Source organism: Homo sapiens, chromosome X (assembly GCF_000001405.40).
Source record: "Homo sapiens chromosome X, GRCh38.p14 Primary Assembly".
NCBI classification, from domain to species: Eukaryota; Metazoa; Chordata; class Mammalia; order Primates; family Hominidae; genus Homo; species Homo sapiens.
The window spans coordinates 41,561,241-41,577,702 of NC_000023.11; the positions used below are offsets into that span (position 1 = coordinate 41,561,241).

The window sequence follows — 16,462 nt, forward strand, 5'->3', positions numbered from 1 at the left end:
AGTGAGAAACTAGTTCACATGTACAAACACTGAAAAGGTTTTCTTTAATCATCTGCTTGGTAAGAAACAGGAGATAAAGGATAAAAGGAGAGTGTTAAAGCCCACACTGCTAAAGACAGGCAAAATGTTTGTAAACTCTATTGTATTTCAACATTTTTCTAGTTGTCAGTTTTATGAATGTTATATAAGTTCAAGTCCACATAAATATGGTACCAGAAATTCTCTGATTACAGAAGAATACTCCTTATTTGTATATTTAAAAACAAGCTAACAAAGTAAAAGTCAATTTTAGGAAAGGAAAAACTTTCATTTACTTACAAGCATTTTTTGCAGTTGTTCCACTGTTTGGTTAGCCACACTGATGCCATTGATTTCTCGAATTTCATCACCAACATGAAGTGTACCTAAGAAATTATATAACATTATAAACATGAAATGATATATGCTTTCATAGTAACAAAATCCAGAGGCATCAATGTAATTTTTAAAAACTAAGTTGAATATTGAGGGCCAATATTTCAGAGGCAGGTACAAGTTTGGTTGCAGCAGAATTATTTAACTCATGTAGTAACCTCATCAAAACAGATATATCTACTTGTGGAAGGCACAGTTTTGATGGATGGCTGCAGAAATCTATTTTTCTGAGAGAGGTGGTATGTATAGTGGTTTAAAAGTATGGCTTCTGGATCCAGACTGCCTGGGTTCAAATTCCAGCTTCCTTGCTTACTAGCTTTAAGATCTTGGGTAAATTACTGAAACTCTCCATACCTCAGTTTTCACATTTGTAAAATGGAGATGAAAATAGTACCCATCTCATAGGATTGTTTTAAGAACTAAACAAATTTAATAAATGCAGAAGGCTTAGAACTGTTCTTGGCACATACCAAGCACCATGACAGTGTTGGCTGCTATCGTTATCTACCAGATATGATACGAAGGTTGTCAATTTTCCAAGAGTTGTGACATGATAATATCTACACAACAGCAAATTCTGTTAAAGATAATTTAATCTTTTGGTTGGCATTTCAGCATCTTGTAATACTTCAGCTAGAAAGAAATGACCAAGAACCAATGCTTAGAGTGTTATTTACAATGTTGCTTCCTTATTTATAAATTGTGCAGAAATGTACACACTGACCTGGCTTCATTACAAAAAGATACCTCTGCATGCAACAATTAAAGAATAAACATTCATCTTAAGTACACGTGGGCCATTTATAAAAACGATTAAAGTGCTATGCCATAAAGCAAGTCTCAACAAACCTCAAAGAAATGGTGTCATACAGACTACATTCTCTGACCACAATGTAATTAAGTTAGAAGTAAATTACAAAAAGATATACAGAAAATCCTGTTAAGTGTGAAAAGTAACAGACAATTATAAATAATATAGGTCAATGAAAAATATCATAATAGAAATATAAAAATACTTAGAACTGAGTTATAAAAATGCGTCATGTCAAAACTGGTGGGATACATTAAGACAGTACTTAGAGGGAGAGTTTAGTCTTAAAGGCACATATTAGAAAAGAAGGCTGGGCCAGGCATGGTGGCTTCCACTTGTAATCCCAGCACTTTGGGAGGCTGAGGTGGGCAGCTCATGAGGTCAGGAGTTTGAGACCAGCCTGGCCAATATGGTGAAACCCCGTCTCTACTAAAATATAAAAATTAGCTGTGCGTGGTGGTGGGCACCTGTAATCCCCGCTACTTGGGAGGCTGAGGCAGGAGAATCGCTTGAACCCGGAAGCAGAGGTTGCACCATTGCACTCCAGCCTGGGCGACAGAGCGAGACTCCATCTCAAAAAAAAAAAAAAAAAAAAAAAAAGAAAAGAAAAGAAGGCTGGGCATGGTGGCTCATGTCTATAACCTCAGTGTTTTCGGAGGCTGAGTGAGGCGAGAAGATCACTAGAGGCCAGGAGTTTGAGACCAACCTGGGCAATAAAGCAAGACTCTATCTCTACAAAGTATTAAAAAAATTAGCTGAGTGTGGTTGCCTGTAGTCCTAACTCAGGAGTCTGAGACAGGAGGATTACTTGAGCCCAGGAGTTCGAGGTTGCAGTGAGCTATGATTATGCTACTGCATTCCAGCCTGGCCGATGGAGCAAGACCCTGTCTCAAAAAAAAAAAAAAAAAAAAAAAAGACTGGAAATAAATGAACTATGTGTCAAATTTGTAAAGTTAGCCAAAACCAATAGAAAGTTAAAAAAAAAGGAGATAATAAAAATTAGGTCATAAAACAATGAAACAGAAAATAAACATATAATGAAGAGAATGAACCAAACCCAGAGTGGGTTTCTGAACAAACCTCTGGCAAGGTTGATCAAGAAAAAAAGAGTAGGCACAAATAAACAATATTAGAAATGAACAGGGGCATAATGACAAAGATGGCAGAGAATAAAAAGATGAGAGAATACTATGAAGAAGCTCTCTGCAATATTTTAAAACTTATTTTTTTTTAGGAAAATGTAATTTACCAAAACTCACTCAAGAAATAGAAAGCCTGGATGGCCTTTTAATGTTAAAGAAATTGAAGCAGTTGTTAAAAAACAAAAACAAAACTTTCTTAAAACTAAAAACCAAAACACTAGGCTGTGATACTTTACAGGCAAGTCCTGCCAAACTTTCAAGACACAAATCATTCCAATATTATATAAAATCTCTCGGAGAACTGAAGAGGGAATACTCTCCAAGTCATTGTGTGAAGTAGATATAACTTTGAAACTAAAATCAGAGAAATACAAGAGAGGAAAATTAACTACGGGCCAGTCTCACTCATAAATGCACATACTGAGATCTTATAAACAAAACATTAGCAGACAGTCGGGCAGTACATAAAAAAGATAATATGTAATGACTAAGCTGAGTTTATCTGAGAAATGCAAGGGTAGTTTATCATTAGGAAATCTTTAAAAGACATTCACCACATTAACAGATAAAAGGAAAAAAACAAATGATCATCTCAGCAGATTCTGAAAGAGCATTTGATTAAATTCAAAACCCATTCACAATTAAAATGCTCAGCAACTAAGAATATAAAGGAACTTCTTTAGCCCTAATAAAAGGCATGTACTAAAAATCTACATTATTCTTAATGAAGAAATATTGGAAAGGTTCCTTTTTAAAAAAACATTTTTTTCTAGAGACAAGGTCTCTCTCCGACACCCAGGTGAGTACAGTGGCGTGATCATAGCTCACTACAGCCTCGAACTCCTGGGCTCAAGCAATCCTCCCACCTCAGCTTCCTGAGTAGCTGGGACTATAGGTGAGCGCCACCATGCCCGGCTAACTTTAGATTCCGTTTAAAAACAAGAATAGGACGGGATGTCTACTATACCACTCCTTGAAAGACTGCCGGTCCTAGCCAGTGCAGTAATATAACAAAGAGAAGTTAAAGAAATAATGATGTTTCCTGCTGTCAATATTAGACAGATCAATGAGACAGAAGGTTAACAAGGACATCCAGGACCTGAACTCAGCTCTGCAACAAGTGGACCTAATAGACATCTACAGAACCCTCCACCCAAAATCAACAGAATATATATTCTTCTCAGCACCACACTGCACTTATTCTAAAATTGACCACATAATTGGAAGTAAAGCACTCCTCAGCAAATGTAAAAGAACAAAAATCACAACAAACTGTCTCTCAGACCACAGAGCAATCAAATTAGAACTCAGGATTAAGAAACTCATTCAAAACCGCTCAACTACATGGAAACTGAACAACTTGCTCCTGATTGACTACTGGGTAAATAACGAAATGAAGGCTGAAATAAAGATGTTCTTTGAAACCAATGAGAACAAAGACACAACGTACCAGAATCTCTGGGACACATTTAAAGCAGTGTGTAGAGGGAAATTTATAGCACTAAATGCCCACAAGAGAAAGCAAGAAAGATCTAAAATCGACACCCTAGCATCACGATTAAAAGAACTAGAGAAGCAAGAGCAAACAAATTCAAAAGCTAGCGGAAGGCATGAAATAACTAAGATCAGAGCAGAACTGAAGGAGATAGAGACACAAAAAACCCTTCAAAATATCAATGAATCCAGGAGCCGGTTTTTCTGAAAAGACCAAAAAAATTGATAGACCGCTAGCAAGACTAATAAAGAAGAAAAGAGAGAAGAATCAAATAGATGCAATTAAAAATGATAAACGGGATATCACCACCGATCCCACAGAAATACAAACTACCATCAGAGAATACTATAAACACCTCTATGCAAATAAACTAGAAAATCTAGAAAAAATGGATGAATTCCTGGACACCTACATTCTCCCAAGACTAAACCAGGAAGAAGTTGAATCTCTGAATAGACCAATAACAGGCCGTGAAATTGAGGCAATAATTAATAGCCTACCAACCAAAAAAAGTCCAGGACCAGACGGATTCACAGCCGAATTCTACCGGAGGTACAAAGAGGAGCTGGTACCATTCCTTCTGAAACTATTCCAATCAACAGAAAAGAGGGAATCCTTTCTAACTCATTTTATGAGGCCAACATCATCCTGATACCAAAGCCTGGCAGAGACACAACAAAAAAACAGAATTTTAGACCAATACCCCTGATGAACATTGATACGAAAATCCTCCATAAAATACTGGAACGTCGAATCCAGCAGCTCATCAAAAAACTTATCCAACACGATCAAGTCAGCTTCATCCCTGGGATGCAAGGCTGGTTAACATACGCAAATCAATAAACGTAATCCATCATATAAACAGAACCAACGACAAAAACCACATGATTATCTCAACAGATGCAGAAAAGGCCTTCAACAAAATTCAATGGCCCTTCATGCTAAAAACTCAGAATAAGCTAGGTATTGATGGAACGTATCTCAAAATAATAAGAGCTATTTATGACAAACCCACAGCCAATATCATACTGAATGGGCAAAAACTGGAAGCATTCCCTTTGAAAACTGGCACAAGACAAGGATGCCGTCTCTCACCACTCCTATTCAACATAGTGTTGGAAGTTCTGGCCAGGGCAATCAGGCAAGAGAAAGAAATAAAAGGTATTTGATTAGGAAATGAGGAAGTCAAACTGTCCCTGTTTGCAGATGACATGACTATATATTTAGAAAACCCCATTGTCTCAGCCCAAAATCTCCTTAAGCTGATAAGCAACTTCAGCAAAGTCTCAGGATACAAAATCAATGTGCAAAAATCACAAGCATTCCTATACACCAATAACAGACAAATAGAGAGCCAAATCATGAGTGAACTCCCATTCACAATTGCTACAAAGAGAATAAAATACCTAAGAATCCAACTTACAAGGGATGTGAAGGACCTCTTCAAGGAGAACTACAAACCATTGCTCAACGAAATAAATGAGGACACAAACAAATGGAAGAATATTCCATGCTCATGGATAGGAAGAATCAATATCATGAAAATGGCTATACTGCCCAAAGTAATTTATAGATTCAATGCCATCCCCATAAAACTACCAATGACTTTCTTCACAGAATTGGAAAAAAAACTACTTTAAAGTTCACATGGACCCAAAAAAGAGCCCGCATTGCCAAGACAATCCTAAGCAAAAAGAACAAAGCTGGAGGCATCACACTACCTGACTTCAAACTATACTATGAGGCTACAGTAACCAAAACAGCATGGTACTCGTACCAAAACAGAGATATAGACAAATGGAACAGAACAGAGGCCTCAGAAATAATGCCACACATCTACAACCATCTGATCTTTGACAAACCTGACAAAAACATGAAATGGGGAAAGGATTCTCTATTTAATAAATGGTGCTGGGAAAACTGGGTAGCCATATGTAGAAAGCTGAAACTGGATCCCTTCCTTACACCTTATACAAAAACTAATTCAAGATGGATTAAAGACTTAAATGTTAGACCTAAAACCATAAAAACCCTGGAAGAAAACCTAGGCAATACCATTCAGGACATAGGCATGGGCAAGGACTTCATGACTAAAACACCAAAAGCAATGGCAACAAAAGCCAAAATAGACTAATGGGATCTAATTAAACTAAAGAGCTTCTGCATGGCAAAAGAAACTACCATCAGAGTGAACAGGCAACCTACAGAATGGGAGAGAATTTTTGCAATCTACCCATCTGACAAAGGGCTAATATCCAGAATCTACAAAGAACTCAAACAAATTTACAAGAAAAAAACAAAGAACCCCATCAAAAAGTGAGCAAAGGATTTGAACAGATATTTCTCAAAAGAAGATATCCATGCAGCCAACAGACACCTGAAAAAATGCTCATCATCACTGGTCATCAGAGAAATGCAAATCAAAACCACAATGAGATACCATCTCACACCAGTTAGAATGGCAATCATTAAAATGTCAGGAAACAACAGGTGCTGGAGAGGATGTGGAGAAATAGGAACACTTTTACACTGTTGGTGGGACTGTAAACTAGTTCAACCACTGTGGAAGACAGTGTGGCGATTCCTCAAGGATCTAGAACTAGAATTACCATTTGACCCAGCCATGTCATTACTGAGTATATACCTAAAGGATTATAAATCATGCTACTATAAAGACACATGCACACGTATGTTTATTGCAGCACTATTTACAATAGCAAAGACTTGGGACCAACCCAAATGTCCATCATTGATAGACTGGATTAAGAAAATGTGGCACATATACACCAGGGAATACTATGCAGCCATAAAAAAGGATGAGTTCATGTCCTTTGCAGGGACATGGATGAAGCTGGAAACCATCATTCTCAGCAAACTATCACAAGGACAGAAAACCAAACACCGTATGTTCTCACTCATAGGTGGGAACTGAACAATGAGATCACTTGGACACAGGGCGGGGAACATCACACACTGGGGCCTGTCAGGGGGTGGGGGGCTGGGGGAGGGATAGCATTAGGAGAAATACCTAATGTAAATGATGAGTTGATGGGTGCAGCAAACCAACATGGCACATGTATACCTATGTATCAAACCTGCACATTGTGCACATGTACCCTAGAAGTTAAAGTATAATAAAAAACAAAAAAGAAAAGAAAAAAAAAAGAAAGAATGATGTTGTGGCTTTACTGAACATATAAAAATTATTAAAAATAGCAAACAAAAAACACATACTGGAATCTAAAACCAAATATCCTCCTGTGGGAGTGCTGTACACCCTCTACGCCTACAAGGATTCCTCTGAAAGCAGCAATGATGCCAGACATCATGTTGTGTACACAGTGATCTCCTCTTATTCTCAAGAGGAGAATAAGGCACTAAAATGCTTAGAGTGTTACTTCTCGCTCTCTGGGGGTAAGGAAAGAGGTGTTAAGTACAAAAATAACCCTATCTCAAAGACAGAGAGTCTGCCAGAAGAATCATTTTTGGAACATCCTCTAAATACTAGTGCATATAACTCAATCCTTTCAAAGAAAAAGCCTAAATCCACATATCCAAACCCTGCCCATCCTTGAGAGTTAACTGAAGATGCACCTTCTTAAAAAATCATTCTTCGAGCTGGGCAAGGTAGCTCATGCCTATAATCCCAGCACTTTGGGAGGAGGCAGGCAGATTGCTTGGGTTCAAGAATTGGAGACCAGCCTGGGCAACATGGTAAAAGCCCATCTCTACAAAAATATCAAAAGTTAGCCAGGCATGGTGGTGTGCACCTGTGGTCCCAGCTACTCAGGAGGCTGAGGTGGGAGGATTGCTTGAGCCCGGGAGGAGAGGTTGCAGTGAGCCAAGATTGTGCCATTGCACAGCCTGGGTGACTGAGCCAGACCTTGTCTCAAAAAAAACCCCCACATCATTCTTTGTCTATTCCAGTTCTTAGTGAATTCTCTCCACAGAATGACTGCACTCACCATGGCAGGTATTAATAATTTAATCATCGATTTGACATCTCTTACCATTTAATTTTTGTATTATTTAACTCTATGATGTCCTAATTTATAAATAGCATATCTAATTCCTAAATGAATGAGAGAACACTTCTTAAATGGTTATTTATTTACATATATCTTTTACTCTAGAACAGATGTCTCTCCTACATCGTGAGGCCCAGTGTAATTATTTGCTTTATCTCCCGTGGTCCCCGTAAGTAGTAATCTAATACAGAGATGCTCTGGCTAACAGAACTCTAATATATTCTCCCTTCATTATCTACATGCTGGAGCCTGTGCAGATGAATAAGAAACAATGGAGGCCAATAATGATTAAAATCAAAGATGATTTTAAAAGATTCTTTATATGTATCCTTTATACTTTCTTAGCTGGGTGTGATGGCATGCACCTGTGGAAAGCTGAGACGGGAGGATTGCTTGCACTTAGGAGCTCAAGACCAGTCTGGGCAACATAGTGAGAGACCCCATCTCAAAAACAAAACAAACAAAAACATTTTCTTCACTAGGCTACAGGGAAAAAAAATTAAGGAAGGCAAAGAAAGAAATATATATGAAACTTACCTTGCCTGTGAATCATGCCCCCATGCATAATTCTTGCAACAATACAATGATTTAGTTCATTCATTTTTAAAGTGATTCCCTGTTAAAAAAAAAATAAAAAGTTCAGCAAAAGTAGAATTACTATGACAGTGCTTCTCTTAATATTTGTGATTTTGCGGTAGATAATTTTAATTACCAGTTAAAAAAAATTAAAGAAAATATGGAAAATGGAGAAGACCATCCAGTATGCCACGCACACAAAATTGCTCCATGACAAAAATACTATTTTTGATTTTTTGATTGCTATATACATATATTTTATATAATGCTTTTAACACACTATTTTCTTTTCTTTTCTTTTTTCTTTTTTTTTTTTTTTTTTTTGAGACTCTGTCACCCAGGCTGGAGTGCAGTGGCACAATCACAGCTTACTGCTACCTCCACCTCCAGGGTTCAAGTGATTCTCCTGCTTCAGCCTCCTGAGTAGCTGGGATTAAAGGTGCCTGCCACCATGCCAAGCTAATTTTTGTATTTTTAGTAGAGACGAGGGTAAGGAAAGAGATGGTTCACTATGTTGGCCAGGCTGTTTTCAAACTGCCGACCTCAAGTGATCCACCTGCTTTGGCCTCCCAAAGTGCTGGCATTACAGGTGTGAGTCACCATGCCTGGCCGATAGTGCTTTTAAATCTTCTAATTATGATTATTTTCCCTGTTGCTCCATTTTTAATGTTGCCTATTATTTTTAAAAACAGTTTTCATTGATATATAATTGACATACACATATTTAAAGTGTACAATTTGATAAGTTTGACATATGTATGAAACTATGGCCACAATCAGGATAGTGATATATCTATCATTCCCAAAAGTTTCCTCATGCTCGTTGGTAATATTCTCCCATCCCTCCATACCCTCCCCACCACATCCCTAAGCAACTACTAATGTGACAATCAAAAAGCTGATAATATAGTTGTCGACCAAAGGCTGATACAGTCAACTTTTGCTGACTACAGATTTGTTTGCACTGTACATAAATGAAATCATACAGTATGAACTCTTTTTTGTTGTTTTTTTCACTCAGCATAATTATTTTGAGATTCCACCATGATGTTGCATGTATCAGTAGTTTGTTCTTTGTTCTTGCTGAGTGGTATTCCATTGTATGGACATATCAGTTTATCCACTCACCCACTGAATTGTTTCCTGGTTTGGGCTATTATAAGTAAAGCTGTATTCCTGGGTTAATCACCATTTGATCATAACATATATATATTTTAAAGATCTGGAACACTTCATGCATTTGTATGTCATCCTTATACAGAGGCCATGATAATATTTTCTGTACTGTTTATATTTTAGTATATGTGCTGCTGAAGTGAGAACATATTAACCTTTTCATATATTGTTGGATTTGCTTTGCTAAGACTTTGTTTAGAATTTTTACATCTACATTCATGAGGAATACTAGTCTATAGTTTTCTTTCTTTGTAATGTCTTAACTGGTTTTGGTATCAGGGCAATGCTGGCTTTCTAGGATGAGCTGGGAAAAATTCCTTTTTTTTCAATGTTTTGAAAAGAGTTTGTATAGAATTGGTATTATTTCTCCATTGTATGTTTGACAGAATTTACCAGTGAAGCCATCTTGACCTGGAGTTTTCTTTGAGGAATAGTTTTTAACTACAAATTCAATTTTCAGATAGTATAGGGCAATTCAGTTTATTCCTTCTTAAATAAGCTTTAGTAGTTTCTGTCTCCCAGGGAATTTTTCCATTTTATCTAAGTTGTTGAATTTATTGGCATAAATCTGTTTATTTCTTTATCATCCTTTTTATATCTGTAGACTCTGTAGTGATGCCCCTTCTCTCATGCCTGATGTTGGTAATTCATGTTTTTTTTCCCCGTGATTGTATAGCCATTTTTCCTGATCAGTCTGATCTTTCCAAAGAAAAAGTATTTTCTGTTTTATTGATACTCTATTGCTTTCTGCTTTCTATTTCATTAATTTCTACTTTGATCTTTATTATTTCTTCTCTTCTACTCATTTTGGGTTTAATTTACTCCATTTTGTCCTAGTTACTTTTAAGGTATAAGCTGAAGTCATTGATTTGAGATGTTTCTTCTTTTCTAATATAGGTGTTTAATGGTACATATTTCTCCCTAAGTACTGCTTTAGTGGCATCCTGCAAATTCTGACATACTGTGGTTCATTTTAATTCATTACAAAATACTTCTTAATTTCCCTTTTGATTTCCTCTTTAATTCATGGGTTACTTAGAATTGTGTTATTTAATTTTCAAGTACTTGGCGATTTATCTCTCTCTGTTATTCATGTCTAATTTAATCCCAGTGTGGTCTGAGAATATATTTTGATATCAATAAAGCTACTCCAGCTACCTTTTGATTAATGTTATCACAGTATATCTTTTTCTATCTTCTTACTTTTTTTTTTTTTTTTAAGAGATGAAGTCTCACACTGTCACCCAGGCGGAGCACAGTGGTGCAATCATAGCCCACTGCATCCTCGAACTCCTGGGCTCAAGTGATCCTCCTGCCTCAGCCTCCCAAGTAGCTGGAACTACAGGCATGCACCACCAAACCTGGCTTCTACCTTTTTACTTTGAAACTATTCTTTGTGTATGAAGTGCATGTTTTACAAGCAGAACATGATGATTGATACAGTCTGGTATAAATATATATTCTTGCTATTTGACTTCTATTTGTTCCACCTGTTCTGTTATCTTTTTCTGCCTTTCTTTGTATTATTTTTTATTCTGTTTTCTCTCCTGTGTTTTCTCTCACAACTCTTCATTTTGTTGTTTTAGTGGTTGCATTAGGGTTTATAGCATCTATCTTTAACTTGTCAGTGTACCTTCAAGTGATATTATACCACTTCACATATAACCCTTATCCCCCCTACATCATATAAGAGCCTTACAATAGTATATAGTACTTCTATGTCTTTCTTCCTGACCTTTGTGCTACTGTTGTCATACATTTTATTTTTCCATATACTATAAACTCTAAAACACATTGTTATTTTTGTTTAAATTGCCAATTATAAGAGATTGAAGTAATAAGAAAAAGAACTTATAGATTTACCCATATAGCTATCATTTCCAGTGCTCTTTATTCCCTTTTTGTAGATTCAGATTTCAATCTGTTATCGTTTTCCTTCTGCCTGAAGAATGTCCTAAATATACTGTGGGTCTTATAGTGTGGGTCTGCTGAATTCTTTCAGTTTTGGTATGTCTGAAGACATTTTTATTTTGCCTTCTTGTTCTTGAAAGATACTTCTGCTTGGTTTAGAATTCTAAGTTGAGAAATGTTTGTTTTTAGTACTTTATGACACTGTTCTTGTTTGTACTGCTTCCGATAAGACATTGATGTCATCCTTATGTTTGTTCCTCTGTGTGTAAAATTTCTTTTTTCTTTTTTTTTTTTTTTTTGAGATGGAGTCTCGCTCTGTCACCCAGGCTGGAGTGCGGTGGCATGATGTCTTGGCTCACTCCAACCTCCACCTACCAGGGTCAAGCAATTCTCCTACCTCTGTCTCCCAATTTCTTTCTTTTTTTTTTTGTTTTTTTTTGGTCTGTTTCTCAGATTTTCTCTTTGTCATAGGTTCTAAGCAGTTTGATTATGATGTAGCTTGGTATTGTTTTCTTCATGTTTCTTGTGCTTGGGGTTTGCCATGGTGTTTGGATCTGTGGGTTTATAGTTTTCATCAAGTTTGGAATGTTTTCAGGCGTTATTTCTTCAAACATTTCTTCTTTCTTTTCCTCTCTTCTTCATGAACTCCAATTAACCATGTATTAGGCTGACTGAAGTTGTCCCACGGCTCAGTGATGCTCTTTTCATCTTTAAAAATTCTTTTTCTTGCTGTGTTTCATTTTTGATAGTTTTTATTGCTCTGTCTTCAAGTTCACTAATCTCTTCTGAAATGTCTAATCTGCCATTAATCCCATAGTGTATTTTCCTGCTAATTCTATTATCTGTCAGTTCTATGTCATTTTTGATTGATTATTCTCCATATTATAGGTCACACTTTCTGGTCTTTTTACATGCCTAGTAATCTTTGATTAGATGTCAGACATTGTGAATTTGTTGCATAGTTGATGTTTTTGTATTCCTAAAAATATTCTTATGTTTTGTTCTGAGACTTAGATCAGTTACTCGGACATAGTTTGATCCTTTGGGTCTTGCGTTCATGATCCATTAGGCAGGTCTGGAGCAGTTGTCAGTTTGGGGCTAATTACTTCTCATTACAGAGATAAGACTTCCCTGAGCGCTCTACACAATGAGCCATGAATTAGAAATTTTTCTAGTCTGACTGGTGGGAACAGGTAGTGCAGGCGCTGTTCCTTCCAATCCTTTTGGATGGTTTTTTTTTCCATCCAAAGTGGAGAGTGTTGGGGAGTTTCTCAGTGTTGGGGAATTTCCTATTAGACATGCACTGATCGATACTCTGCTGAATACTTGAGGGAGATCCTCTGCAGATCTGAGGTTCTGTCTGTGTGCAGCTCTCTCCTCTTCAGTACTCTGTCCTATGAACTCTAGTTGCTTTGGTCACCCCAGACTCTCAGCTCTGTCCCCTCAATTTAGGGAGTCTGCCTACTCTGCCTTAGTTCCCCTCCCTGTGCTGTGGCCTGGAAACTCTCTCAAGGCAGCATGGTGGGGCATTCATATGGGTCACCTTGTTTCCTGTCTCACAAGAGATCACTGTCCTTAGTTGCCTGATGTCTAATGTCTTGAAAACTGTTCTTTCATGATATTTTGTTTTTTATATGTTGGGTTGTTTCAAATGAGAGGATAAATCTGGTCCCAGTTACTCTATCTTGGACAGAAATGAAAGTTCTATAGTCACATTTAATGCCAGAATACTATTCTACAGAGTGGATTACTTTTTGTTTTCTGATTATCCACTATTAAAAAAAACAAGCATTCATAAACATATTTTTTGCACTAGATCTGGTTAATCCTAAGAATCACACAGGGAAATTTTAAATAATGCTGACTCTTAAACCCACTCTTTAGATTTAAGCTCAGGAGGCCTCGAATGGAGCCCGGAAATCTGTACTTTTTAACAGGCTCCCTTGCTGGAAAGTGGCCTTGAATTTGAGACAGTTAAGGGTAGGGACTGTGTCTTTTATTTTTCACTAGAGAATAACACTGTCAGAAAGCTTGATAAAAATATCTGAGACTTTATACTCTAAACTTAATTTGTACCACTCCACAAACTATAACTTTGCATTGTTCCTATTTTGCAGTTTTCAGAAGTGGTAGGTGAGCAATGTGAAAAACTGGTTTATCAAAATGTTTCCAGTCCTAAGATTCAATTGTAATATTCAAGTTTCATTTCCAACTTGTACATTCAATCAGCTTGTATGGTTACTAAGAAAAGTGTTCCTGGAAAAATGCTGTAAATTAGTGTGTAAGTCAAATCTAATTTCATAAGGGAAATGATAGTACAATACAGCTTCCACCCTTGAAACTAATAGATGTATGTATTCATTCAACTAACATTAACGTGAATTTACTATGAGGCAGGCACTCTGCTAGGTACAGTAGCAAATGAGACAAAAAGGGTCTCCCATGGCCAGGAGAAGTTCACCTCAAACCAACTGTAGTTAACATTTATTATTCTGTAGGTCCCAAACATTTCTCTGTAGAGAGGAACTGATTCACTTTCTCTCTGTTCCCAAGTTCACAAATTCTAGGGAAGGCATTGGCATAGCTTGGGTTAGGTGCCTACTCCTGAACCTACCAGCTTGAGGGGAGATATTAGGAAAGTTATACTCCTGGCCTTTCCCTGTTTATATAAGCCTTTCCTCTATTTTGTAAGCTAGTTCAAGCTTGATTTTTGTCACTTGCAACTATGGGAATTCCAATCAATAAAAAAAAAAATTATGAGTATGATGCTACAAATGGGAAAACAGAGGTGTGTAACAGGAGTATGTCACCCTTGAGGAATGGACACATTGCAGAGGGTCTGAAAAACAAAACAGATCATATAGGAATATCCTGCACAGTAACATAATGCTTTGAATAAGACAACTAAGAAAGCAAATAAAGTTGTATTAAATGCATTAGAGATTGACACTCTATTATTGAAAATATATATTTTATATTTCACATAAAATAATTCCTGTTTTCATGGAAACCCATCAAAAGGAGAAGAAATATACATCTTCACTAGGATCATCGAAGACAGAAAAGCTTTTGGAAGGAGACTTTTAGGGGAGACTCAAGACCATTTTACGCTTTCTGAAAAAGTAACTCAGGGATGTAGTTTTATGCTTTTATTCAGTCTATGTTTCTTTTTTCTTTTCTTTTCTTTTCTTTTTTTTTTGAAACGGAGTCTCACTCTGCTGCCCAGGCTGGAGTGCAGTGGCGCGATCTCGGCTCACTGCAACCTCCGCCTCCCGGGTTCAAGCGATTCTTCTGCCTCAGCCTCCTGAGTAGCTAGGATTACAGGCACCCACCACCACACCTGGCTAATTTTTGTATTTTTAGTAGAGATGGGGTTTCACCATATTGGCCACGCTGGTCTCGAACTCCTGACCTCGTGATCCACCCGCCTCGTCCTCCCAAAGTGCTGGGATTACAGGTGTGAGCCACTGCACCGGGCCAATTCAGTCTATGTTTCTATGTAGTGAGTCTTCACACAAACAATCAAGCAGCTGTCACTGGACTGCTTGAGAACTTAATGATCCCAAGACACTCTGAGGCCTCCTTCTTGTGGTCCCTTCTACCTTCTTGCCTGCTTTGCCTGGCTGAACATCACACCTTCCTGCCTCTCCAACACAGCTTTCTCTCCTCTCCAGCTCTGTCATAACTGGGCTTGTTAAGTAAACCGTGCTAAGCTACAAATTTACTTGTTTAATGTAGCCAGCCCTGTGGAACGTGAGCTCTAGTAAGGGGCAGTGTCTTATCTGACAATAGATCACTGGCATCTAATAAGAGTGATTTGCACTTAGTAGGGACTTCAAAAATATTTGGTGAATAAATGAATGAATATATAAAATGAATGAATGGAATATTAGACTTTCAGAGCTAGGTGGGATCTTGGGGATCATTCATTTAGTCAACTATGCTTTTAGAGATGAGCCAACTGAGGTCCACTGACATGAAGTGATTTGCCCAAGACACCCAAAACCTGCTGTAGCCTATGCTCTTAAGCCAAAGAGTTGCCTGGATAGTACCAGAAGGGGTGAGGTGATCTGCATGCCCCCCATGTGCTGCAAGATAATATTGTATAACTGGCAAAGATTACTAAATGAGGATTAGGACCAGAAATGTCTAAGCTGAGGGCTCTCCAAAAATCATGGTCATAGAGTCACTGCTATAACTTTTCCCTTAATCTAAAAGGCAACTTTCAGAAGTAGGTAATTTGTTTTTCTATATCCTAATATCCCTTTTCTATGTTCTGAGGAAAAAGATATGAATGCATAAATTTGAATTTTTTTCCTCTTCTAAAGATATGGTTTCTCCTCCAACTTGGAACTTATCCAATGTTCCCTGTCTCAACGTCCATTCAGTTTTAGAAGACTAAAGCTTAAGGGCTGTGCTTGATCTTTGCTTCTCCCTCAGTTCTACTGTCAATCCATTGTTAAGGCTTACTGATATTACCTACTCTTTCATTATTTCTTAAATGTGTTCACTTCTTTCCATCTTGACATCCATCCCTCAAGTTCAGAGTTCCATCATATCTGCCCTGCACTGCTGCAATAACAGCCTCTTAACTGGTTTCTGTACATCCACTCTTGACCCCTCTCATACATTCTCTAGAGTGATATTTCTAAAACAAAAATCTAATATTATCCCCCTGCTTGAAAGTCTTCAATAGCCTCCCATTGTTTTTAAGATAATGAACATAATCCTTAACATGTCTTCCAACACTTGTATGATTCTGTTCCAGCCACTCACCTTGCTGTCTGCAGTTCAGCCATGGTGCCTTCTTTCCATTGGGAAACTATGATAAGAGCCTTTTTACTACCAGGTTTACACATGTGCTATTTGGTTTGCTGAATAGTATTCCCCTGCTTCCCCTCACTCCCCT

The 16,462-nt window shown here is 37.4% G+C and overlaps 1 protein-coding gene and 1 pseudogene across 12 annotated transcripts in view; both read right to left on the reverse strand.

Annotated features, from left to right (window-relative positions):
- Positions 1-16,462, reverse strand: part of CASK (calcium/calmodulin dependent serine protein kinase) — a 408,621-nt gene that overhangs the window by 46,307 nt on the left and 345,852 nt on the right. For all 12 annotated transcript variants that reach the window (NM_001126055.3, NM_001410745.1, NM_001126054.3 and 9 more), the window contains 2 exons: positions 8,428-8,506; positions 319-404 (listed from right to left, as the gene is read on the reverse strand). In NM_001126055.3, coding sequence (NP_001119527.1) covers positions 319-404; positions 8,428-8,506 — 165 coding nt within the window. The remainder of the gene's footprint in view (positions 1-318; positions 405-8,427; positions 8,507-16,462) is intronic.
- On the reverse strand, positions 9,683-9,789 carry RNU6-1321P (RNA, U6 small nuclear 1321, pseudogene; annotated as a pseudogene).